General features: G+C 39.6%; 1 long non-coding RNA gene across 2 annotated transcripts in view; it reads right to left on the bottom strand.

Moving 5' to 3' along the window:
* The window catches only part of INHBA-AS1 (INHBA antisense RNA 1), an 85,460-nt gene that overhangs the window by 42,760 nt on the left and 17,696 nt on the right, over window positions 1–25,004 (bottom strand). The window contains exon 3 of one of the 2 annotated variants that reach the window (NR_027119.2): window positions 23,425–24,956. The exons of the other annotated variant lie outside the window; for it this stretch is intronic. This is a non-coding gene — a long non-coding RNA (INHBA antisense RNA 1). Of the gene's footprint in view, window positions 1–23,424; window positions 24,957–25,004 lie in introns of those variants that run through there. 2 annotated transcript variants of the gene reach the window in all.

Below are 25,004 nucleotides of genomic sequence, written 5' to 3'. Positions count from 1 at the left end.
AGGCTTAGCCTTTGGATCCCTTCTTTTCCATGTATTCACTCACTTGCTTGGTGATTACTTTTGTTCCCATGGCTTTATATGCCACATAGCCCTACATGTATATGCTGATGGCTCTGCATTTATGTCTCTAGCCCAGAGCTCCAGACTCACATGCATAACCAGTTACCTAACATTTCCACTTTGATGTAGCAAAAATCTTAGGCAAACGTGTCTAAAACCAAACCCTTGAGTTGTTGTTTTAATCATATTGGCTCTTCTTCCTCTAGTATATCCCCTCTCTGTCAAAGGCACCACTGTTCACCAAGTTGCTCAGGTCAAATATCTAGAGTCATTCAGTTCTCTCTCTCTCCCATGCAGTGTCTAATCTATCAGCAAATCCTGTTGTCTGGATCTTAAAATTTTCTGCATCATCATCTCTTTTGACACCACTCTCATCCAGGCCACTGACATCTCCTGCCTGGACCTTCGCTATCCTTCTCTAACTAGTCTTCCTTCTTATACTCTTGCCCCTCACAGACCATTCTCCTCACAATGGCCAGAGATGCCTTTTAAAGATATAAATTAGATTACAAGTGACTCCGTTGTTCAAAAGTTTTAGATGGCTTTCCATTGTGGTTGGAATAAAATCTCAAGTCTCTTCATGGCTTTCAAAACTCTTCATGATCTGGCTCCTATCTAACTTTTCAAACATATCTCATGCCTTTGGGCTCTTATAAAACTAATCTCAAGTTTATTTGGCCTCTAACAGTTTCTAGATCCACACCAAACTTTTCACCTCATCAGAACATTTGTGTTTGCTAGTCCCTTAAGCCTGGAACCACCTTCTGCAGTTTTAGCATAGCTGGTTCCAAGCCTAAAAATCTATACATAGAGCAGATGGAAGAGTGTAATTAAAAGAGCTAACCAGGTCTTACTTCACACTTCAGATCCTTAGCACCATGGATCAGACCTGTGTTGGGAAGAAAGAAGTCATTTAAATCAAGTTTATGATTGAATCTTTAATCTAGATACATGTTAATACAGAAAACACTGTGGAATTTGCTTAAGATGTTATTGAAAGATACAGATGGGAAATTCACTATACCATGGTTGAAGGCAAAGTTTGGGGGAAAATTAAGAAAAAAGAATAAAAAGTACATCATATCTACAGTGTCGCCATTTAACACTTCTCAACAGTTTTTGTGGTTTAGGAAAGGCCACAGATGCACACTTATATCAGAACCAACCTCATGGTGAAACTTCCGCCTTGGTTCTAATAATATTCCGGTTGACTCCTTTTAGTTTTCTAAGGAAAGTATCTGGGATGTATTATAAGAATCTTATACCCTAATTAAGTAGTATTATGTGTTAAGCAATAAAAACAATTCTCACAATGCAAGCAGTCAAAAAATGGAACTCTTGAATATATTTACTAAAATAAAACAAAAAAAGCAAAGGTGTACTTCAACTGATGGAAGTGAAAACTTAGAACAACTTAAGAATAAAAAAAATCTACAGTAAATATTAAAACCAATAAGTATATAGAGTGATGTATATTGCTTATAAATATTAATTAGAAATATAAATGCACAAATCAATATGGTTCTTTAAAAAACAATGGCATATTATACCATTAGTCATGTAATTTAAAAATGGATTTAATATCCCAGGTGAATTAACAGCAAGTAAGAAGTAAAACAAGTAGAGAATAGATGAAGTAAAAATGTACCAAATTCTTTACTACCAATATTGTTAGACTTAAAAGTTCTTGAGAATTAGAGACATGTAGATTTAGATGTGTGGCTTGATACTCTGAAAGAGCTTCAAGTGGAATAAAAAATATATGTAACTTGCAAATCACTATAAAATATTAAAGAAAAGCCTTAATATTGACAGTCTCAAGAGCTTTCTGTGAACTGAAGGAAAAATCACTTTCGTTTTATACAAAAATTGTTTGCAAATATAGGAAAACATAGGGAAATGTAAGAGTGTTGCAGTTATTAACACTGTGTCTGTTAAAGAAAGTTACTTTTTTAAGTGTAGGCACATAAAATATATATTAATATAACGGTAAATTAGTATGCATTTATTTACTTTTGACTTAAAAATAAGAGTATATTTTCTCTTTACATGTTCATAAAATATTTGGCATATATTAGTGTACAAAACATCAGTAATTTTCCAACAACAGATATTGCACAAAATATCAAATCAAAATTCCTTAAAGTTGTACCAAAATATGCATTTTTAAAACTTCAGTCTCATTAGTTTCTTTGGATCTTTCGTTAGCATTTAATATATAAAATTTCAAACACTCAACTCTCAATTTTCTCCTTAGTAACAGAACCTCCAATTTTTGGCTACACAGATGGCCAACTAGAATAAGGACTCCCCTTGCACCTAGGTTAGACATGTGACTACATTCAAGCCAATGAGATGTGACATGTACCTGTCCTTCAAGAGAAGAGATATCCCTTTCCTTGTAGTTTTCTTTTTCCTGCTGCCACAGCAATGAATTGGAGCATAAGTAGCTGTCCTGGGCTCTGGAGCATCAGCTAAGGATGGCTGAGCAACGCAGCAGATAATCCTGGGAACCTGATGGTACTGAGACCTCTCTGGTTACGTTTGTTGGGAGCCGTTTCTGGTCAGTGATAGAAAAATAAACCCAAACTGGGTTGTGTGGAAGTGGAAGTGGTTGACAAGAAGCAACAGAAAGGAGTACAGGCTACTCTTTCTAAAAGCTTCACAGTGAAGCAAGGAAAATGTGGAGCAGCAGTTTGTGGGAAATTAAGACTGGGAGAGGGACAACCCTTTCTGGGGGCATTCCAGAAGAATCTGGAATGTTTATAGTCTGAGTTCAAGAGAGAATTACCTGGGAAGAGAGAGAAAAATTGAAAAAACTGTTGGAACAAAATCTAAGAAGGGCTAGGAGGGAATAGAATCAAAAGCAAATGGGGAAGAGACTAATCTCCTGTGGCAGAAGGGAAGAATAGAGATAAAGACACATTTGGCTTAATACCTAGGTGATGGGTTGATCTGTGCAGCAAATCACCATGACACTTGTTTACCTATGTAACAAACCTGCACATCCTGCACATGTACCCCAGAACTTAAAAACAGAAGTTGAAGAAAAAAAAGACACATTTTAAAGTTCAGGGTAAGTGAATTAAGGATGCAGTAGTCTCCATTTTTTCCCCAAAACTTGTGAAACAAAGCAAGTCTTAAGAATGAAGAAAGTAGTCAAGGTTTGAATAATCCTTGAGGGATTTGAAAGACAAGCAAACAGCAGAAAAGAAAAAAAAAAAAACATTCTTGAGCATTCCCGAGGTCTCACCTGAAGGCCATAGAATTTGTCATTTCCCAGTGAGCAAAGCAAAATGACTTCCTTCAGCAGTGCTTCACAGCTTAGAAATCAGAGTCGGTAAGAATGAGTCATTAGGCTGTTGTAGAATAGACTATTTGCAAGGCTTATACAGCAGTAGATCAAAGGGTTGGTGGAAATGTGTGTGTTGATGATAGTGTGGTGGAAACAATAAACCATGAAATCCAAACAAGTTAGGAAATACATTGAAATAAGAAGGGACTGAGAGTCTGATTCAATAGAGACAAGGGAAGGAGATTAGGCTTGGGCACGCTGACAGTGAGCAGAGCAGGCATGAAGACATGGCGGTGACAATGGAAAGAGGGAACCTGGTGGTTCGCACAGGAAAGGTCACGGCAGAATACGGGAAGTCAGAGGTGGAGCGGAGAGGCCAAGGGGTGGCTGCAAATGAAGTTACAGCAGAGAGGGGGGACAGCGGTCAGAGCAGAGGGGATCAAATGACCGTGAACCTGAGAAGTGAAGTGCCTCATCCAAATGAAAGTTGAAATCACCCTTGGTTTTGGAAGGAAAAGGCTTAGAAAAGAAAATGGATCCAGAGTCCAGCCTTGTTCCAGAGGCTATGGCTATCAACTCAAAACTCATAACATGGAGACAAGCAGTCACTGGAAATAAGAGAGCAGCCCAACCAGCTAAAGAGATGCTTCTTATCAGTATCACCCAGGACTTTCCATAAATGTAAAACCCACAAAATGCGCACTGTTAGGTCTGCTTTAAAGTAATTTTTAGAAAAATATTTTATTACTATTAAATCACTGTGAGTGAGATACGTTGAGTTCTTACTGTTATTATTGTTTTCCTAATAATCATATCTTAGTAGTTACGACAGAACTATGCAAGATCAAGGTAGTATTGATTTTTTACTTTTTCTCTTGTTCCAGTAGAGGGCACTCAAAGCTCAAATAAATGCATGCAATCATTTTTACAGCACTTGTTGTTTTATATAATTAAAACTCATCTTTAAATGAAAAAGAGAACGTCTAATTTAATAAAACTTAATTACTAGTCATGCAAGTAAATTTTACTAAAATGAGATGAGATCTTGTAAGTGTCTAAATGAGGACATGCCTCCCCAGACACAGTTCTTTCATTTTCACTCAGCACACACTGAAAGCGGAAAGGAAATTCTCTTGTCTAAGAAGCAAGTTGGGCTTTCGAAACACCAAGTCTGCCACAGACACCTGATCCTCAAGTTCTATTTTCATTCCTATCTGGTCTTCATTGATAAGTGTTTTCAATAAACTGGAAAATAATCCTGTGGGCTACTGGACAAATATCCTTCAATGGAGAACATCTAAGAGTTAATAAGACAGAAATGACATTGGAACTAGAGGAGCCACCCTCTGAAACATGTACAACCAATGAATGAGATGGTTAATACTGAGGTTGCTGCCACTGCACAGTCCACAAGAAGTTCTCAGGAAAGTTTCAAGAAGACCTTATGTTTTAGAGAGTTAAGAAAATGCAAGTATTATTACTGCTTGAGGGAAGACTATCTTCCAAGCACAAGATTAATTCTGTGTGGCTTTGGTTGCCATGTGGCAGAATGACAGTGGAAGATTTCAACAGTGGTGACGTTGCTGTCCTCCTAGAGGAACTAGGCCCTGGGGTCAAATGATTCTACTGCTGACGTCTTTGCCATGATGGGGCTGCTATGATCCAAACATGGCAGCTTTTCCAGACACAGAGGACGTTTCAGTTTGGATTTATTTTTTTATGTTGGAGTAATGATTCTTTGCGGGGAGCAAATGGGAATCATACCAGCATCCTTCAATAATGGTGATGCATCAACATGAATTCACCTGTTCGGTAGGGTTCAGGATGCTACAGGGGGGAGAAGACTGTCTCCAAAAAACTCTTTTTGGCAAGGATGGTAGCCCTGGCATTATAAAGAGTATGTTATGACTTATTTATAACAGATTTTTTTAAATAACTAGTTGCAAGACTCTGAAACATTATGATTTAAGAACTCCCTTTATCTGCACCTCACGCTGACTAAACACACAGTCCTCCCCGCACTCAGAAACCAAGTCCGTTCTCCTCAGGAATAGTGCAGCGCTGGGATTCTCCTGTCATATCAGAGATACATCAACCCTGTTACACTCAGGATGCAAAGGCCAAAGTCTAAGAAGCTATGCAATATTGAGTTTTTTTTTTTTTTTTTAAAAAGCACTTTCCCTTTTTCCTAATAACATGGCAGTACAAGATAAGGGATTTAGAATTGAAGACCCTGAGGGTGTCCACACATCAATAATGAAAATCAAAGTACTTTAAGACTGTAGGTTAAATATAGAATATTTATGGGTTGGTGTTATTGTTGGCCATATCTAGCCTTGCCATCTATCGTTAAAAGACCAGGCAGCCGCTGTCTCATTGTTTATTCTTCTTCTCAGCTCTCTGACAGTGGCTTGGTTTATAGTTGTAGGCAATAAATTACAAGGTTGAGTCTAGTTTCTAACCTTGTGGCTAAAGAGTTCCCATTACCCGGTTAGGCAAGCTAAATGTTTTATTTAAAATGACATCCATAATCACTATAAGAAAATCACTCAAATGAGAGTGAATGCTGATGGCCTTAACATGAACAAGCAATTCCGTATACAACAGTGTGGTAGAGTGGCAAACATACATACAGTAGTGCAGCCAGAAGGTCTGCCTTCTATAATTTAGGCAAGTATTTCTTCCCTATGAGTCTCAGTTACTCCTTCTTCACCCAAACCAAATAATATCTAGACTCTGTGCCTATAGGGATGATTTTTGTATCGCCTAGGATGCATTCTGCTGCAAGCAACAACAACAAAAAAAAACCTAGCTAAAAGTGGCTTAATAAATAAAGGTGCATCTGATCTTACCCAACAGGAAGTCTAGGCACCAGGAAATTCCAGGGAAGTTCAGTAAGGAGCTCAGTGATGTCAACCATCTCTGCAATCATCTTGGCTTTTGCTTCCAGATCACAAGATGGCTGTTCCCAGTATCATATCCTCACACAGTGACATTTAGAGACAGAAAAATTGGTATTTTTCTTATTTTCATTTTCTTAAGGGCTGGAAACACTACTCCAGAAGTTCCAGACTTCACCTCATTGGCCAGAATTGTGCAAACTGCCCATTCCTGGGTGAACCACTTGTCTAGGATATAGAATTACCATAGTTAGCCTGGATCAATCAACATTCTCCCCCTGTGGCAGGAAAGAGTTCCAGACTGCCCTGCCATACAAGGTGAGCATGAACAAAATCAGGGTTCAGTGAGGAAAGGGTGGTGGCAGGTGGCTGTGGTTCCTTCCCAATCTCTATTTGCATGGAAACATATACACAGATATACTCATTCATACCCCTAATGACAAGTGTTTCTATCTAACTAACACAGTTCCATCAGGTAAACTCTGCCCTCTTTGCTGCACAGTTTGGAAACTGTCCTTTTTAGAACATATTCGCAGTTTGGTCAAAATACTTAGGAGCACATACAAGGCCCCACATGTTAAATTCCTCAAGCAGGATCTACTAAGCCTGCTTTACTTTATTGAATCCCAATCCCTGTAATTAATGACATTCCGTGATATCAATTATGGGGAGAGTTGAACTATCATCACTGCTAGAGCCTCGCTAAGTGGCGATGGCATAGGAAGGGAGAGGAACATAGGGTTGCTTCTAAAACTCATCATGATCAAAAGTTCAACTTCATATAACCAGTTTTTTTCTGTCCCTGTGGTTGGATAATTTCCTTCAGAAAAGACCGAGAAGCCTCCCTTTACCATATATGTCCTCATGTTTCCATTTCAGGAAACTGCTTCAATTCACGATGGTCTCGCCTGTGTCCAGCATGGTACGCTGTCTTCCCTTACCTCCACGAGGATGGTTCCACAGATGAAAACAGAGGCAATTTATGACCAGGGGCAAAGTGACATGGCTTCTATTCTTTACCCTTTCACCTCTGGCTTCACTGTCTTTGTCTGAAATCCTGTTACTGGGGGTGGAGGGGAAATGGAGCTTTTCTTCTGGAGTTGGGCTGGAGTTCTTCCTCATTTCAGTCCAGCTGAGCTGGGACTGCAATTTGTTCTAGGAGACTGTCACACTGGAAGAGTAACCGAACTCATAAATTAGAAGAGAGCTGAGGTCCAAAATACCAGAAGGTGAATCAGGATGTTCTCAACAGTCAGAGAAGCAGGGCAGAGGTGGATGTCAGTTGGGAAGTGGATCCAGAAATTCAGCGCCAGGACAGTGTAAGCGGGAGAAAGCATCCACAGTTGAGGGAACAAATAGAGAGAAGGGGACGGAGCAACTGATGGACATGGGGGTCAGCCAGTCTGGCTTAACCAGGAGTCGTTTGGATAAAAAAAGCCTTCCAAGTTGTTTACATCATCAATCTACTGGGGCTTTGAGAATGGCAGTCAAAAATAAGAACGCATTCCTAATTCTTGTTTGACATAGAGAGTGATTGCTTTGGGACTGAAAGCTATTTATTCTTAGAGTAATCTGAGGTTCTCCCTTGTTCTCATACTTTAACCTCATCTTACTCAAGACTTTTTCTAGATTTGGGGATCATTATTCACATGTAGTTAAATTGTATCTTCAGGGAAAATGAGTTGGCATGGAATTTGTTGTGTCTGTCTCCCTATTATTGCTATGGATTTAGATGTGCTATTTTGTAGAACATGTTAAAGAAAATAACCTGGAGACACTACGCATGTACATTTGGGTTCAGATGACAATTTAGTCTATCAATTCATTCTGTGTAGAGTAATTAAGCTGTATTTTCTCATACATGCCTGTATTGAAAAAGAATGGTTTTCTAGAGATAAATCTATCTATTGATAACTATATCTATATCTATGTCTACATCTATATCTATACCTAATCTCTATCTATATTTACATCTATCTTAGTTGAGAAACCTTTTGGCTTCAAGGAATAGAAAACTTGGCTAATACTAACTTAGCCAAGCAGAGGCTTACATGTCTCAGTTAACAATACACTTGGAGCCAGACAGTCCAAAAGCTGCTCTGTTTATCTTTTTGCTCTGTCATTCTCAGCATGATGGCTTATTGCCTCAGTGTCAAAAGATGGCTGCTGCAGCTCTAGCCATCTCATCTGTGTCCAAGTCAGGAGAAAAAGAAAATTGCTGGCACCTTCTATACTTTTATCAGGAAACGATGGGCCTCATTGGCCAGAACTAAGTCACATGGGCTTGCTACCTACAGAGAAAGCTGGGAAAATGTGCATTTTATTTTTCCAGCCTTTATGGAAGAGGTGGCCCCGGAAGAATGGGGCTGAGGATGATTCTGAAGTAAAGCAGCTAACAATGACCCACACCTTGCTGCAGTGAAGGCCCAACGCAGGGCAGCAGTGACAATCTAAGGACAAAATCTTGATTGTTGGTTTTAACTTGGGCATTTTCATAGGGTTTTCTTATTTAAAGGAAACTTTGCTTGGAATGCCATAACAGCCCTGAACAATAGTAGACGCTTAGAGCTTCAGAAGCTGGATTTAGAAACAGCCTGAGGGCTGGCAAGTGGGAATGTTAAAAACAACTTTTTAAATCTAATGTTTACTTATTTGCCTTGCATTTCTTCACTTATACCTATCTTTTCATAAAGAGATTTCAGGAGTCTTATAAAGGAACATAAATTATTACAAAGTAGCACCAGTTAAAGTTGGAGCAAAAAAGTGTATGGAGGAGAGCAAACTGGAAGCAGAAATTTAACCAGAAATGCACTTCATGTTGAGATAAACATGTACTCTGGGAGGGACCTAAATCTGCCTTTAATCTTTTTATCTGTCAAAAAGGACAATCATGGCAGTGACATACATAGGTCACAGGGCATATGAGGTGCAAACAGAGCCAAGGTATCAAGGAAGAGCACAGAAGAGGGTCCTACATCGAAGTATTTCATTTACTTGCCCAATTTCTCTTCCTTATTTTTTGCCTCCTGTTTCCTCTAGAACAGACCCTATCTAGGTTTCCTTCTGCTGTACTGGGAATGACTCCTTGGGTCCCGGAGCTGAATCGGGGGAGAGCAGGCATCATCCATGGGTGCCCTCCTGCCTCCCAGTATTATTAATATTTGCACCCCCCTCTTGGTCCTGAGGGCTCCACAGCTGGTTGGCCATTTGGAGTATTTTTTCTAGTGCCTCTCGTGTGAAGGGACATTATTTTTGCTTTACTTCTTTTCTTGGATAACAGGAGAAAGAAGACATACTTTTTAGAACATGTAAGGTATCAGGTACTGGTCCTCTGTCTTCTAGTAGCTCATTTAATCTTCCTGCTGGCTTGGAAGGAGTCACATATTATAGTTGGGTTGAATTATTTGCCCAAGGTTAGAGCTAATCACTGGCAGAGCTGGGATTTGAGCTTGGATATGTCTCTGAAGCCTTTCCATTATACTGCTTTTTTTTTTTTTAAACCTGCATTTATTTATAAAACCGAGTTCCACTGCTGAAGTTGGGCATCTGAGGTTAGATTAATCTCTCCTCTTACCTCTACTCCCCAGCCAATTTCTCTGAAGGCTGTGCTCAGAAGTTTCCTGGAGTTGGAATTGGAAGGCTCATTTATTATTTCATATTCTTTTACTGAGTAGCTGTGTGACCATGGGTAATTCACTGAAGCCTTCTCAAAGCCTGTGGAGTGGGAACTACGATTACAACCCCACTGGCTACATGGTAGTGGCAGTGGGAGGGAGGGGTTGGTGTCAAACTCAGACTAGATCATATTTGTTGTAATTACTATGGAAAAATATAAGCTTTAATCACATTCAGTGCATTGTTTTTTACTTATTATTATGACCTCAAGATGTTGTTGTTGAGAAAAATCCTACTTCTCCTTTGGTTTTCAGCCCTTGGGTCACTTTTTAAGGAAAATCTGGCTGTCTTGTCTCCAGGAGTGCTGAATCCACGAGCTCCCTGTTCTGTTAATGTCTGCCTTCTTCCTGCAAAAAAAGGGGAGGTTGGCTGTTTTATTCAGGGCTGTATTCCTAGCCTCTACCACAGGAGTTAATACAGATCAATAGGAATATCTCTGAATTTTAATATCAGGTTTACTATCAGGTTGAGAGATCACGCCTCAAACCTAGAAGAGTGAAATTTTTTAGCAAATATTTCTTGCAGTGAGGTAGTTGCTTTGGGAAGGGAGGGCATTTGGGGTCGTGTTAAAGGTGAATAGTTTGTAACTCAGACATCTCTTAAGGCTGATCCTGCTCACAGTTCTAAGAGGAAGGACTCATGCTGGGGAAGTAAGCACAGGAGCTACTGGATAAAACAGATCCTAACTGACATTTTAGTGCCTCTCTGAAACAGAAATTGCTGATGTATTGTATTTACACACACAAAGCTGTATACACTTACACCCATCTCTGTGGGCTCATGTGCACAGACACATGACACTGTAGTTGGACTCTGAGGAGCACACCCTGGGAGGAAGGGGCTTTGGAAATTCAGCTAATCATTCCTGCAGATCCCTCAGTTACTAGCAGGGACAGCGGCCATCCTGCAACCACAGTTGGGCAGCCTCTGCCCCTGGCTGCTCTACACAACTCTGCAGCTCCCCAGTCCTCTGCCTTGGCAGAGTTTCCAACATTTAAAAATAAATAAGTAAAGAATTTTCTTTTTCTCATAATGAATGGTTGCAAATCAAGCTCAGCTTATACCTAGAATCCAGGAACATATTCTTGGACTTGACTACCTGGAAACAAGAAATTTGAGGCAACGTCTTCCCAGCATGACTTCCTAACCACCAACATAGTTTAGGGTAGTATCCATGCACAAGACAAGGGGGAACGGGCTGAGCTGCAAAAAGAAAATGGAAACATTCAGGGGAGACCGTAGGAAAATTTTTTTGACTGTGCAGCCAATCGGGCAATGGAATAAATGACTTGGGGAAATATTTGTGGCTCCCTAAATAGAGGTGTTCCGGAGAAAAGTGAGATGGAACACTTATTCTCATTGTCATTATTAAGCAGCGTTTATTGAGTGTGGATAGAGTACAAGGTAGCTTTCCAAAGGCTGAGGCACCCCCAGTTCCTGTGGAAAAGTGTGGGGAAGAACGGCATTTTGGCAGCTCTGGGCCATGGCGGAACTCATGACTCACGAGGACCCTGCTGGCGGTCAGAGTCTGTGACTTTGTGGCAAGTTTACAAACTCTGAGATGCCTTCTGCTCAGAAAACTGAGTCTCAGGCTGGTTATGAACATGAAAACATTAATAATTGCTGTGATAATTAATGGTAACTCTAACAGTTTAGTTAGAATTCTATGTGGAATTTTTGCTATTGTGTTTTAAACATTATTAGTCAGACACATCATTTTTCTTATTTGATAGAGAAGATTGTGATTGGGAATAACCACTAAGCGTTGATGTATTCTGCCTCATTTTGAATTGAAACAGGAGGGCTAACAGAGAATGGTATGAATAAAGGGGAATGGGCTGGAAAGGTGCATGTGAGACAGAGAAAGCTATGAAAAGTCTAGGCCTTTGTTCTTGTCCAGAATCTTATCATGTATTAGAAGGAGGAAAAGTAGTTTGTCAAAATGCTCCATAAAAACCTTCCTCATGACCTGCTTTTCCTTAGAACTATGGCAGGGGTAAAAGACAGAAACATAGAATTGTCTCATTATTTCACAGAAAAGCCATCCTTCTAGTTCCCCTTTTTGGTTACCTTAAATAACCAAACAACCAAACTGATAATTTGGGAGATATTTTCATTAACTCTGATTTCCTGGGGCCTGACTGGCTAACTTATGCATTGACTCATTAAATAAAACAGCACTTTTCATCAGAAAGAAGACGGGGCTGGGTGTGGTAGCTCATTCCTATAAACCCAGCATTTTGGGACGCTAAGGCGGGAGGATCACTTGAGGCCAGGGGTTCGAGACCAGCCTGGGCAACATGGCAAGACCCCCTCTCTACAAAAAAATTTAAAAAAAAAATTAGCCAGGTGGGGTGGTTCATGTTTGTAGTCCCAGCTACTCAGGAGGCTGAGGTGGGAGGATCACTTGAGCCCAGGAGTTTAAGGCTGCAGTGAACTATGATCACCCCTCTGCACTCCAGCCTGGGTGACAGAGTAAGACCCCATTTCTAAGAAAAAAAAGAATTGAAGTTAAAAATTTTAAATATTAAAGAAGGGAAAACAACTATCCTTCCTCCTGATTTTTGACTCTTAACTAAAACTAGTCATCCTTTCCCCACTTTCACTGCACAGAGAGGACTTTCCAAATGGGCTATAACATTGCCTTTTTCCCTCTCTCCCCTCTTTTCTACCCCTGTTACTTTCTGCATCAATCTTGGGGCTGTCACTTCCAGAAAACAAGGGAATACTGACACATTAAATCTTGAAATCACCACCCCTTAGTGAAGCCTTCCTTTAGGGTAAGAAATGGAAGCACCTCTATAGAAGTGTGTCTTGGAAATTGTAGGTTTCCATGTATACCACTGATGTAGAATATCAGAAAATCAATGATCCTAAGAAGAATGCTTAACAGATTCTAGGAGTTACTAATTACCTTCCTTCCAGGGTATTTTACCAGGTTACAAAAGTCAGAAAACAAAGCCAAAGAATCTGTATTATCTGTCTAATTGCAAACATCAAGTATGAATGGCTCTCTTTCCAGATGAAAAGCAAAAAAGAAAAAAAAAACAACAATGAAAGAACTATATGTTTGAAAAAGAGAAGTGTCCAGGTTATTTAGCATTCAGTGGAAAAGCATTCTTCTTAAAGTTATTTACTAATAGAAGGACATTGTAGAAATCTGATACCCTGAAGCAGTCCAAGAAAAAGTGGCCTGAAAAAGAGAGAATGATAAGATTAAAAGCAGTGGAATAATTTAGAAAGAAATCCAGGATAAAAAAGGGCCAAGTGAGATAAAAAGGATAAAAAATTGGCAATTGCAGAATTAAAATCTGTACTAGAGATTATAAAGGACAGGATGGGTATTGAATAAAATTCCACACAGATGAGAGTGATACACTTCAGTAGCTCTTCCAGTAAAAAGAGGAAATATACCAACAGTCGAATACTCACAGAGGAAAGATATAGGGTTCACAAAATGGAAAGCCAAACTAGGAATTGGAGAGGAAACCAGACTAATTGTAAGAAAACTTTCTTGAGCTAAAAGAAACCACCAAAGTATGCAGACTGAAAAGGGCTAAACATGTTTCAGGAAGTGTTAATAGAAAATATCCCATATCATTCCACCATGGTGAGTTTTTGAATTATGAAGAGAAATAAAAACAAAATAAAATAGAGCTGAGAAGTATCCACGAAGAAAATTTAAAAAGACAGTAACAAGCTAACTTTGAGAGCAGCAAAAAAAAAAAAAAAAAAAAAAAAAAAAAATCAGGCTGACTTTAGACTTCTCCAGAAGCAAACAGAAGGTCATAGAGGGGTGACATCAATAGAGTGCTAAGATTAAAAGATTATTACCTGAGAATTTGATTTAATCAAGTCTTGATTCATGTCTGACAACCCAGGAACACATTCCCTGGTATGTGCCAGTTAACACAATGTGTTATCACAGGCTTTTTTGAAGGAACTCTTGTAAACATAGGCTATGGTACAATTATGAGTTTAAAAATGAAGCCTGGTAAACTGTATTTGTAAAATGAATTGTTTCTAAGATGACTGAAGTATAAACTATTTACTTAAATTCCCACAAAACCCTGAGAAGCAAGCAGATAAGATTTACAGCCTCTGTATTTAGAGAAACTAAGATTTAGAGGGTTAAGGGATGTATCTCAGGATCTCACTAATAGAAATGGAATCAGGATTCCTATCTAATTCTCAATGCAGAGGGTGTGAGCTATCAGATCAGCATTGCCCCTTTCTGTTTTAATTTGATTTTGGGAAGTTTCTGTAATAGAAGCAGGAGAAAATAAAAGAACATTGGCTTGAAGGGTTGACCACGCTTAAAATACATTCCTCTTTCTTTCCTGGGATTAGGTTAGTGCCTATGTTTCATTAGAAGTCTCTTTAGATTCCACTAACAATCTTGTCAACTACAATAGGAAAAGCCCTTCAATAACAATGTGCTTTTATTTTGGGAGTCCTTATTATGTGCCAGATGCTCTTCTAGGCATAGAGTTCAAGATAAAGAGAAATAAACCAAACAACATCACCTACTCATGTTTCCTATCAAGAATTAGATGACAGGAAACAAACCACTTAGACAACAGCAAAAGGCACTCACTCTAGCTCTGGTAATTAACATGCCCATTATAATAATTAGCATATTCCATCTTGAATACAAAGGGACAAGCTAGAATCACTAGGCATGAGGAAAACCAAAGTTATGAAAGGTGAACAAACAAAAAAATAGATGATATGGAAAACAGAAATTATTCAGAGCACAAAACAGAAAGTGTCTTTTCTAAGGGCACGTTGAAAAAATGTTCTTAGAAATATTTTAAAAGAACTTAAACCCAAAGACAGGAAGGAAACAGCAATTGAAATGCTTTTACAAATTAAAAATATTAGTTAAAACAAAAGTAAAAGGAAGGATAGAAGTTTAAGTTGAAGAAGTCTCATTAAACACAGAGCAAAGATATGGAAATATGAAAGAAAAAAAGAAAAAAAAAAGGACACAATAGGGACATTAATTAAAAAGATCCAGCGTCTAATTAACAGCCGTGGTCTGCAGTGGCACAGTCAGTGTGTCTCTGTTGTGGTAGTGGCTATTGTCATTGCTTATATATTAGCAAAAACAATAGCCAACATTTCTTGAGAGTTTTCATCGTGCTAGAACCTGGGCTAAGGTCCTAACCTACAATGTCCTGTTTTATCATCCTTTAAAACTACATATAAGGTAAACGGTTATGATGAGGTTATTGATTGCATTCAGTTGTGCGGACTGAAAAGAAAGTAGTCAGGAAAGAACTCTTGGGTGATTGGACACCAATAACAGATCAAAATTCAAAAGTAGGAGCTTGTTTAGGGAGAAAGAAGTTGGTTAAATTTTAACATGCTGAGTTGAAGGTGCCTAAAAGACACCTGAATGGATAAAATCAATATATGGTTGTTTGTATGAGTCTGAAGCTCAGATAAAAGATGTTGCCAGAGGGAGATTGGGAATCACCAATATTATCAGTTGAAACCAGGAAGTAGATGCAATCACTCAAAAAGAGAACACTGAAATGTTCTGTAGAGAGGATTATTGGTAACATTTGTCAGAACAATTTTAATGGCATTCTTGGCACACACCAGATTACAGTTGAAGAATGAATGAAGAATTAGTTCATCACATTCTTCATCTGTCTCAGATGCAAAATGGATTAATAATACCTATGTGAGTGGATACTGTAGAATTAAAAGATATCACGTTTGAAGAGTCTTTAGCAAGTGCCTGACACATAGTACATGCTCAACAAATGCAGGAGAGAGATATATACATAACTCTCCATATATCACCCAATCACTATAACATAATACTGGAATATATCACTTTATGATGGCAGTATGCTGTAGTGATTGAATGCATGGAGTTTGGAACTGGATAGACTTGGGTTTGTCGTCTAGCTCTGCCACTGTATAGGTGCATGAAGTTGGACTAATCACTCTGTTTATGCACTTTTTCTTTCATCTATAAAATGGAGAGTAGAGAAACAACTATCTTCTAAAATAATTTCTAGACATTGTATATTATTTTGTCCTATAAAATGTTATATATTTTCTAAATATTTGTGTTCTGTTATCTGGCTGAACTTTTAACATAAGTTTGTAAATTAACATAGTTAGGGTTTGTTGTGGTCACACAATGGTGAATACAATTTGTTTTAATATTGGTTTGTGTTTATCTTTTGTATTGTTCTTTTTCTTGTATGAAAGGTAGAAAGCCAGGGCTTTGTATATCTTTGCCTCAGATGCTTCTGCAGGGCAGACTTTTACTAAATTTGGAACAGGCAATGGTGGGTATCTGGCACATGCAGCGCAGAAAGGAAAATGAACTGGACATGGCCAAGGGAGGAGAGGAAGTGGTGGGTGAGAGGCTGGCACACCCCTCACAGGAGCAGTGGAGATTTGCAGGCGGCTGGGCAGTACCTAGGAGAGCAGCAAGGTCTCAGTCCTTGTGGGACCTCTCGGAGAGCACCGGCACCCCAGCACTAGCCAGTGGGGACCCATGAACAGAGGAACTTTCCTTTGCCAAGACCAGGAAACTTTAGAATGGGGGGAGGGCAAAAAACCATAAGAGAGATTTGACTTCCCACTGATGTGTGTTGATTTCAGAACTGAAGAAATGTCACATATTTTGCTATGAATTTGTGCACTGAAAAATTATACCTGTAGCACACTCACACCATCTACTAACAAAGATAATTTTGTCACCACTTTGTTGCGTTTTGCTCATTATTTTTATTTTTTTGCCTTATTATACTGACCAGAACTTGAAAAATATTATAATAAAAGGCCTCACAGTTATCAATGAGGAACAAGTTGGCTCTGATCTGCCTAGACCAGGAAGGAAGAAAGGTTCTCTGTGGACAAAGAGAAGACAGGTGCTAAGCCACATGTTACACTCTCTAGCTCAAGACTGAAAAAACTAGACAAGCTCTCTCATCCCTCTGTTCTACTCCATCCACCCTCCCCCATTCCTGAATTTAGGTACAGAAAAAAATGTGAAGACTTCAAAGAGAGTGAGGCTTATTTACTAGCATATGGCAAATTGAAGGCTCAGGGTAGGAATTTAATGCAATCACAGAAAAATAAAGTAAATTACCTATCCTGACCACCTGTGTATGTAGATTAAGATTCATTCCCACTCTTATCTCAGTGCTTCTGGAAGTTTTTATCTTGTGTAATACTCTCATGGAAGCAGGTGTAGCAAGAACCGGTTGAATGCCACTATGCTAACCAGGCACTCCTAAATTTAAAAATGTTTCCTGTTTAGTGCCATTCTAATATCTGTTAATATATGTAAGCATTATACTTAAATGTTTCTCATGGCATGAGATATGAGTATTGTGCATGCCATATATATTATATTTTAAGTATGAAAGTTTAAGGTCAATTAATATTAGCTTGTCAGCCTTTTGCACCATCCCAAATGAAGGCCTTCCAAGGACTCTCCTTGCCAGGAATCTCATCCAGTGGGCTCTGTGTCCCCACCATCTTCCTCCTACTGCATCCCTTCCTACTTTCCCACTTGTTCCATTGTAATCTGCTGCCATAACTCTCAGTTTCCACTCTAAGCTTGCCCACCAGCTAACTTCTCTGACATGGAGTCCTCCATGGACATTCCACCTCCTAGCAAGCATGCATGTTTTCCTGCGGCTCCTTGATCTGGGAGACATGGATGAGGATGGATGTGGGTGATAGCCACTAAGGACTCTTACTGCTGACCACTGCTGCTCCAAGTATGAAGGCTCAGATGAGAACATGAAATATATAAAGAAAAAAGAAGAAAGCAATGGAGCTTAGTGCTGGACAGCATGAGCTTTCTTGTTTTTTTTTTTTTTTTTTTTTTTGAGACAGAGTCTCACTCTGTTGTCCAGGCTGGAGTGCAGTGGTGCAATCTCGGCTCACTGCAACCTCCGCCTCCCAGGTTCAAGTGATTCTCCTGCCTCAGCCTCCAGAGTAGCTGGGACTACCCAGTAGCACCACCACACCCAGCTAATTTTTTGTATTTTTAGTAGAGATGGGGTTTTACCATGTAAACCAGGCTGGTCTCGAACTCCCAACATCAAGTGATCCACCCACTTCGAGCATCCCAAAGTGCTGGGATTACAGGCATGAACCACTGCACCTGGCCAGCATGAGCTTTCATGCCAAGCTGCTTGGATTGAAATCCTAGCTCCAAGGATATTGCTTCAGGGTATATCCTTGGACAAGTTATCTGGTCTTTCCAAACCTCAGTGGCTTCATCTGTAATTAGCAATAATAAGAAAACCTATTTCAAATTGTTATTTGAAGGGTGAAAGGGTATTACACATATATCAAGCACTTTGCTCCATGCGTAGCAGAAATGAGTGCTTGATCAATGATAACTAACAGAGCATCATCTTCATCGTATTTCCACCTTCATCTAAAAACAGCCTTGAGGCTGTGGCTATCACATTATACATCTCTGTGCCAGACATCTACCCCAGGTTTTTTATTCAGCCAACCCTCTCTTACAGACCTTTGAATCCCTTAACACCAAAGACTTTCACAACCACTCCACATAAGAAACACATCCTATGCCCATGCCCTGGGCTGTTTCACTATTCACAATGGTTTGTCCTTTGAAATCTTAATCTTCAGCATTCCATTTTCTGAGACCCAATGCCCATTAGCTCTCACTCTCTCTCAACATACCTACATTTCACATCATCGATATCTCTGATTCCTGGATGATGCTATTTTTCACAAACTATCAGTTGCTTTCTGGCTTCACTTCTTTCTTCACCTGGTTCAGATTCCTGAGGGCACAGCTCAGTTTCTTTACTGACCTTTCCTTTTACTCCCATTCTTTGTTGTCCTTTCTCAGCTCCTGCTCTGCCAGAATCTGAGTCTGGATCGCCCGATGTGCACTGTGTAGTGTGCAGCCAGTCACAATAGCCACATTCCAAATGTTCAATAAGCACACGTGGCCAGTGGCTACTCGATTGCACGGTACAGATTGTAGAAACTTTTCATGATTGCAGAAAGTTCTACTGGACAGGAGTGCTATATCTAAACAATTGACCTTCTCTCTTCTACACTTTACAGTGAAGAACACTTCTGGGTAAGACAGAACAACTCTGTGGTTTGGTGTTCCTGAAACTTCTGTGCATTCAGTCTCAATGACTTCCAGAATGCCTGGAGGTGTTCGGAAGCCCCCTCATCTCCTATCTGCTTCTGCCACTGTTATAACATTTCATCTGTCTTTTCAAACCTTCCACTCCACCACCTCCACCAGCTTTGACATCTCTCTCAGCAGATGAGCTTACCTTCTTTTTTACTGCAAAATCAATGAGATGAAAATTCTCTTAATTCCCTTCTCTGTCAGTTATTATCATGTCTCTCTATGCCTATCCTTTATTTTTTTTTCTTCTTGTTTAATTTAAGGCTAATCCTACCACCTATGCTTAGGATTAATTCATCAGCCAACAAATATTTATTGAGCAACTACTACATGTCAAACACAGTTTCAGGTGCCAAGATTTAGCTGTTAACAAAACAATGTCTCTACCCTCATTCTAGTGTTGTCACATAGGCAATAAAAAAATACCTCAGATGGTGATAAATATAACAGAGAAAAATGAAACAGCCTGGGTGTTAGGGTGTACCAGGATGGAGTCCGTTGCTATTTTATATTGAGTGGTCCAAAAAGGCTTCAGCGATCTGGAAACAAATAACAAGAAATTCAGGGAGTGAGCTGCGAGGGTGTCTGATGGAAAATGATGAAATTCCTGGCAGAGGCGACGTCAAGCACAAAGGCTTGGGAAATGCACGAGCTCATTCTGTTGGAAGGATAGCAAGGGGGATCACATGGGAAGAAGACAGAGACCAAGGAGAAACAGAGAAGAAGGCACGTTCGGGGATGTGGCCAGGTCACGTAGCTTCTCTCTGGCCACAATAGTGAGCGAGTGGAGAAGCCACGGGAGGGTAGGAGCAAAGGAGAGACCTCATCTGCCTTGCATTTTTGAAAGGGTCATTTTGAGTGTTGGATTCCAGATAGTCTATGGGGGCAAGGATGGGAGTAGGGAGATTTGCTAGGAGGCTGTTGCAATTATTCAGGTGTGGTGGTATATTTAGGTCAATAGGGATGGCAGTTTGGCCTGAGGGACGGTGGTGGAGGTGGTAAGGAGTGGTGTGAATGTGGGTCTATTTTGGAATCAATCCATCATTTCTCACTTCAGCAGGAAACTTGCTTATCTGTCTTCTCTCATATTGTAAAATTATTTACCTTTAGCAGTTCACTTCTCTCCGAAGAGCTTAAATCTCTATCTTAAAATTTAAAAGGGCTTTCTCTCAATCCTCAATGTCTCCTTCTCTAGTCATTACTCAATTTCTTCTTCACGTTTGACAGAATACATCTCCTTAGTCTTCTCATCCCCTTCTCTTCCCACTAAAATCTATCCCCAAGTAACAAAGCTGATCTGCTCAGGCTAGCACTGGCACTGATTAGAATATTGCCAGATCTATTGGGCCTTTCTGTCAGTGTCTTACTTGACCACATCGTGTCATATGACCTTTTCAAACTCTCACTTTTCTTGGCTTCCTTGACAATGTTCCCTACTTGTTTTTCTCCTACACATCTGACTCCTTCTCAAAGCTCCTCACAGGCTCCTCTTCCTCCACTCACCTCGTAAATATGAAGGTTCCCAAGCCTCTGCCTTTAAATTTCTCATCTTCTGCTCTTCTCTGTCTTGAAGGTAATAGTTGCTAGAAGAAATAGTTCCCAAAATGATGATGCCTCAAAATCAATAAAGGCTTATTTCTCACTCAAGCAATAATACAAAACAAACATTTAGTGTTTTAAAACTAGTATAATGTTTTAGAATTGAAATTCTAACCCAGGGGCCAGGATACCAGATAGCTATCATATACCAGAGTGAAGGGGATAGAGACCACTGCAAAGGAATCTTTAAAGTAGATATCTGAGAACAGGTTCCATTAGTTTTAAGACTCTGGAGAGATGTTGAGAATATAAAAGTTTAAGAGAGTGGAGAGCAAGGCGGGGAGGGGGATGAATTTTGGGAGACACCTTCAGAAGAAGCACCTGCCAGGTGTGTGTCAGTCCCAGCTCTCCCAACAGGACAGGGTTAATTAATCTTCTTCAACTCCAGGGAAGATAACTAACATAGGCTTCAACAGCACCTTCTGCAGCTGAGGGACCCCTGCATACTGATGCTTGACTCATGCCTGAATAAATGTAAATTGGTCTAAGGCAAGGTAAAGGATAAAAGGAGGAGGGGACTATGTTTATGAAGAAACCACATTCCCATCAAGCGTGGGCTAGAAATGCATGAGTTTCCCGTGGAGCTAATAGGGTCTACATGGGAGGGAAGGCAGGCCTGGCGCTGTTTTAGGTCCTGCCCAAGAGGATGGCCTGGGAGGAGAATGTGTCTTACAGAGAGAGTCTGTATGCAAGGGACTGCAGAGAAGCAGGGTCCAAGTGGGGACCGGGGAGCAGCCAGCCAACAGACAGCTGTGGTAGCCGTTGGGTGAAGGACCCGAAAACAAGAGAATGAGTCAGGTGTGAGCATCTGCCGAGCCTGGAGTGCATGGGTGATTTTAGTTTTCTCTCCCTAAGTTTTGTTAACGGTGGCATAAGCTTACATCCAAGGATGGAGGAACAGAGGCTTTGTCACAGGTAAGAAAAGGAAATGAGGAGCGAGAGCAGTCAGCTTGAGACACGATGAAGAATTTAACACATGCAGCAGTACAAAAGAAAAAGGCTGCAAACTCCAATATCTTTCTAACCCAGTCCATTCTAAAACTAGGGAAAAAGCTGAAACCTGAAGGGTATTCCTCCAACAGAAGGGACACGCTCCTAAGTTGGCAAGACAAGCCCTAGCTGCAGGGTCACTGGAAGGCTCCGACCCATGACCTCAGCTCTTGTCCTAGGCCTCAGAGGCCACCCAACCCTTAGACAAGACGTAGATGATGTTGAGAGAAGTAGAAAGGAGGATAGATGAGAACACACCTATGCTATTTTAGGACAAACAGTAGACCTGCTGTCTTATCCCATTCAAAAATGAGTTAACAGAAAAGAATAAACAGCAACATAGGGCTTATGCATAAATTCCTCAACTAACAAGAAGAAACGAAACAAAGCGCAAAGAAAGCTAAAGAGCACACTCAAAAAATAAAGAATCTTTAAATCAACAATTTACACATTCAAGAAAATTTTAGAAACAAACAAAAACACTTGTCAAAAATGCAATAGAAGAAAATGTTCCTGAAATGAAGAAAGATCTTTCCATTTCTGGAAAGACATAAACTATAATTTTGTTTCTGGTTTTCTTTGAATGATTAAACTGTAGGAGCCCTCTATCCCTCCCTCCCTCTTTTTCTGCCCTCCTTCTCTCCCTTTCTTTGTTTCCTCTTCACCTCCCTCCTCTTTCTCTTTCTTCCTTCCTTTCTTTTTTCCTCGATGGTGCTTGTATTTGAAAAATGAATACCTATTATTTCTAGAATTAGGAAGAAGCTTTTTCAATCAAAAACATTGTTTAAGGCCAGGCATGGTGGTTCACGCCTGTAATCCTAGCACTTTGGGAGGCCGAGGCAGGCGGATTGCCTGAGCTCAGGAGTTCAAGACCAGCCCGGGCAACATGGTGAAACCCCGTCTCTGCTAAAAATACAAAAAGTTAGCCAGGCATGGTGGCGCTTGCCTATAGTCCCAGCTACTCAGGAGGCTGAGGCACGAGAATCACTTGAACCCAGGAGATGGAGGTTGCAATGAGCCGAGATCACGCCACTTCACTCCAGCCTGGGCGACAGAGCGAGACACAGTCTTAACAAACAAACAAACAAACACACTGTTCAATAATATGCTACCATTAAATGACAAACTTTGAGTAACTGCAGGTAGAGAAAAACCTAGAATTATCTACAGTTGTTATAAAGCCCTGGCATTAGGAAATGATATTTTAATCAAGATAACTGTTGAGTTGTGGATTTGAGTCACATACGTGAAAAGACCTGGGATAGGACAGAACCAGAGTTAAAAGAAAAACATTAAAACTGGAAAAAGATATCAATGGAACGGGATCACAAGCTTAGCAACACACTACAGATCAATTGAATGAAATTAGTGCTCATATTTATACACATTCAATAGGTGATGAAAATGGCATTCCAAAGTGAAAAGTTCATAAATGGTGCTCATTCATTCAATCTTTGGAAAAATTTCTAAAAAGTCAAGCTCTTCCTTGTTCTGTATGCCAAAATATATTCCAGATACGTTGGATTAAAGAATAAAGTGCCAAAAAATATTTAGTGAAAAATATACATGAGTATCAATTTGATTTCCTGATGGAGAAGCCTCAGCAAAAAGATAGTAATTCCTAGATTAGTTCATATAAAAGTGTAAACTCTCTTTTGGCCTGAAACACTATTAATATAAACAAAATTAAAGGGCCAGGAACTAACAGGGAAACAAATTACAATAATATGTAGCAGACAGTAGGTTAGGATCTTTAATATAAAAAGTTCTCATTAATAATAAAATATACTTTACTATAGATAATATAAATGTATATACAATGAAATTTTATTTAAAATATAAAAATGACAATAGGGTTCTTACTAATAAAAGAGAAACAATGGGCAAAGAACATGAACAGTGACTCAAAAGAAAGTTGTTCAAATGGACAACAAAATGTCCATTTTAAATAATAATTTAAAAATTCAAATTAAATCAAAGCATATACCATACTTGGCCTGGGTGGGAGAGAACTTTGATAACATCCATCCCAAAACACAGGGAAAGAGTCATGCCCTTACACTATTGGTTGGAATGTAACAGGTAAAAACTTTCAGGAGGGCATTTGGTAATATATATGAAGATTTAAATATGTCCACATTTTTATTTTTTATTTATCTTATTTAATTTTAATTTTATTTATTTATTTTTGAGATGAAGTCTTACTCTGTCGCCCAGACTGGAGCGCAGTGGTGCCATCTTGGCTCACTGCAACCTCCGCCTCCTGAGTTCAAGTGATTCTTATGCCTCAGCCTCCTGAGTAGCTGGGATTACAGGCGTGCACTACCACACCCGGCTAATTTTTGTAATTTTAGTAGAGATGGGGTTTCACTATGTTGGCCAGGCTGGTCTTGAACTCCTGACCTCAAGTGATCCACCTGCTTCAGTCTCCCAAAGTGCTGGGATTACAGGCATGACCCACCGCGTCTGGCATAAATATGTCCACATTTTTAAATCCAGTGATTCCACTTCTAGGAACTTATCTCAAGGAAATAATAAGAGATGCATTTAAATACATATAAGGATGGATGCAATACTTATACTTACAAAATTTGGGAAATGACTTCAATATACAATAATTGTGGACTGGTTTAAAAATAAAGACACACCTATTTGAAAGGTTACTCCCCAGTCATTAATATTTTCAAGAAATAATTTGACTATTGAAAATGCTCAACATACAGTGATAGGTGAAAAATATCAGTATACAGGATTATATTACAGTAGGATTGCAATTTTTTTTTTTACACATACACAGAAATTTTAATAACGATTATTTCTGGAAGGGATGATTACATGTGATTTACATTTTTTGTTCTGCGTCTTCAACATTTTATACAAATAATATGCGTCTTTTTTAAGCTTAGGATGGATGTCATTTAAAAAGCAACAATTTTTGGTATTGGAAGCAGACAGATCACGGAGAAGGTGCCCAATTGCTACAGGGTTTCTTTCTACACAGGGTTTCTTACTATTCAGATGCACCAGAAGGGGGCGCCTCAGCCTCTTCCCGCTGACAGACAGCTGGATCACCTGGTAAGTCTGGAATGTTCAGGTCTGCAGGAATCACTTTCCCTCGTCGTTACGCTTCTTTTCTGGGTCTCTCAGAAATTTCCATAGAAGAAGGATATGGAAATTTGAATGCCACCATGAGAGTTTTCTCTAGTCACATGATTAACAGTCTGTGCTGGTGATGTGTCCTTTGGTCAACACTCTTCTACCTGGGCAGCTGCTGCAAATCAGGAGTGCCTCTCCATCAGGAAAAGACAGAAACAAAACA

This window comes from Homo sapiens, chromosome 7 (assembly GCF_000001405.40).
Source record: "Homo sapiens chromosome 7, GRCh38.p14 Primary Assembly".
In the NCBI taxonomy this organism is placed as follows: Eukaryota; Metazoa; Chordata; class Mammalia; order Primates; family Hominidae; genus Homo; species Homo sapiens.
This window is presented reverse-complemented; position numbering and strand designations above follow the sequence as displayed.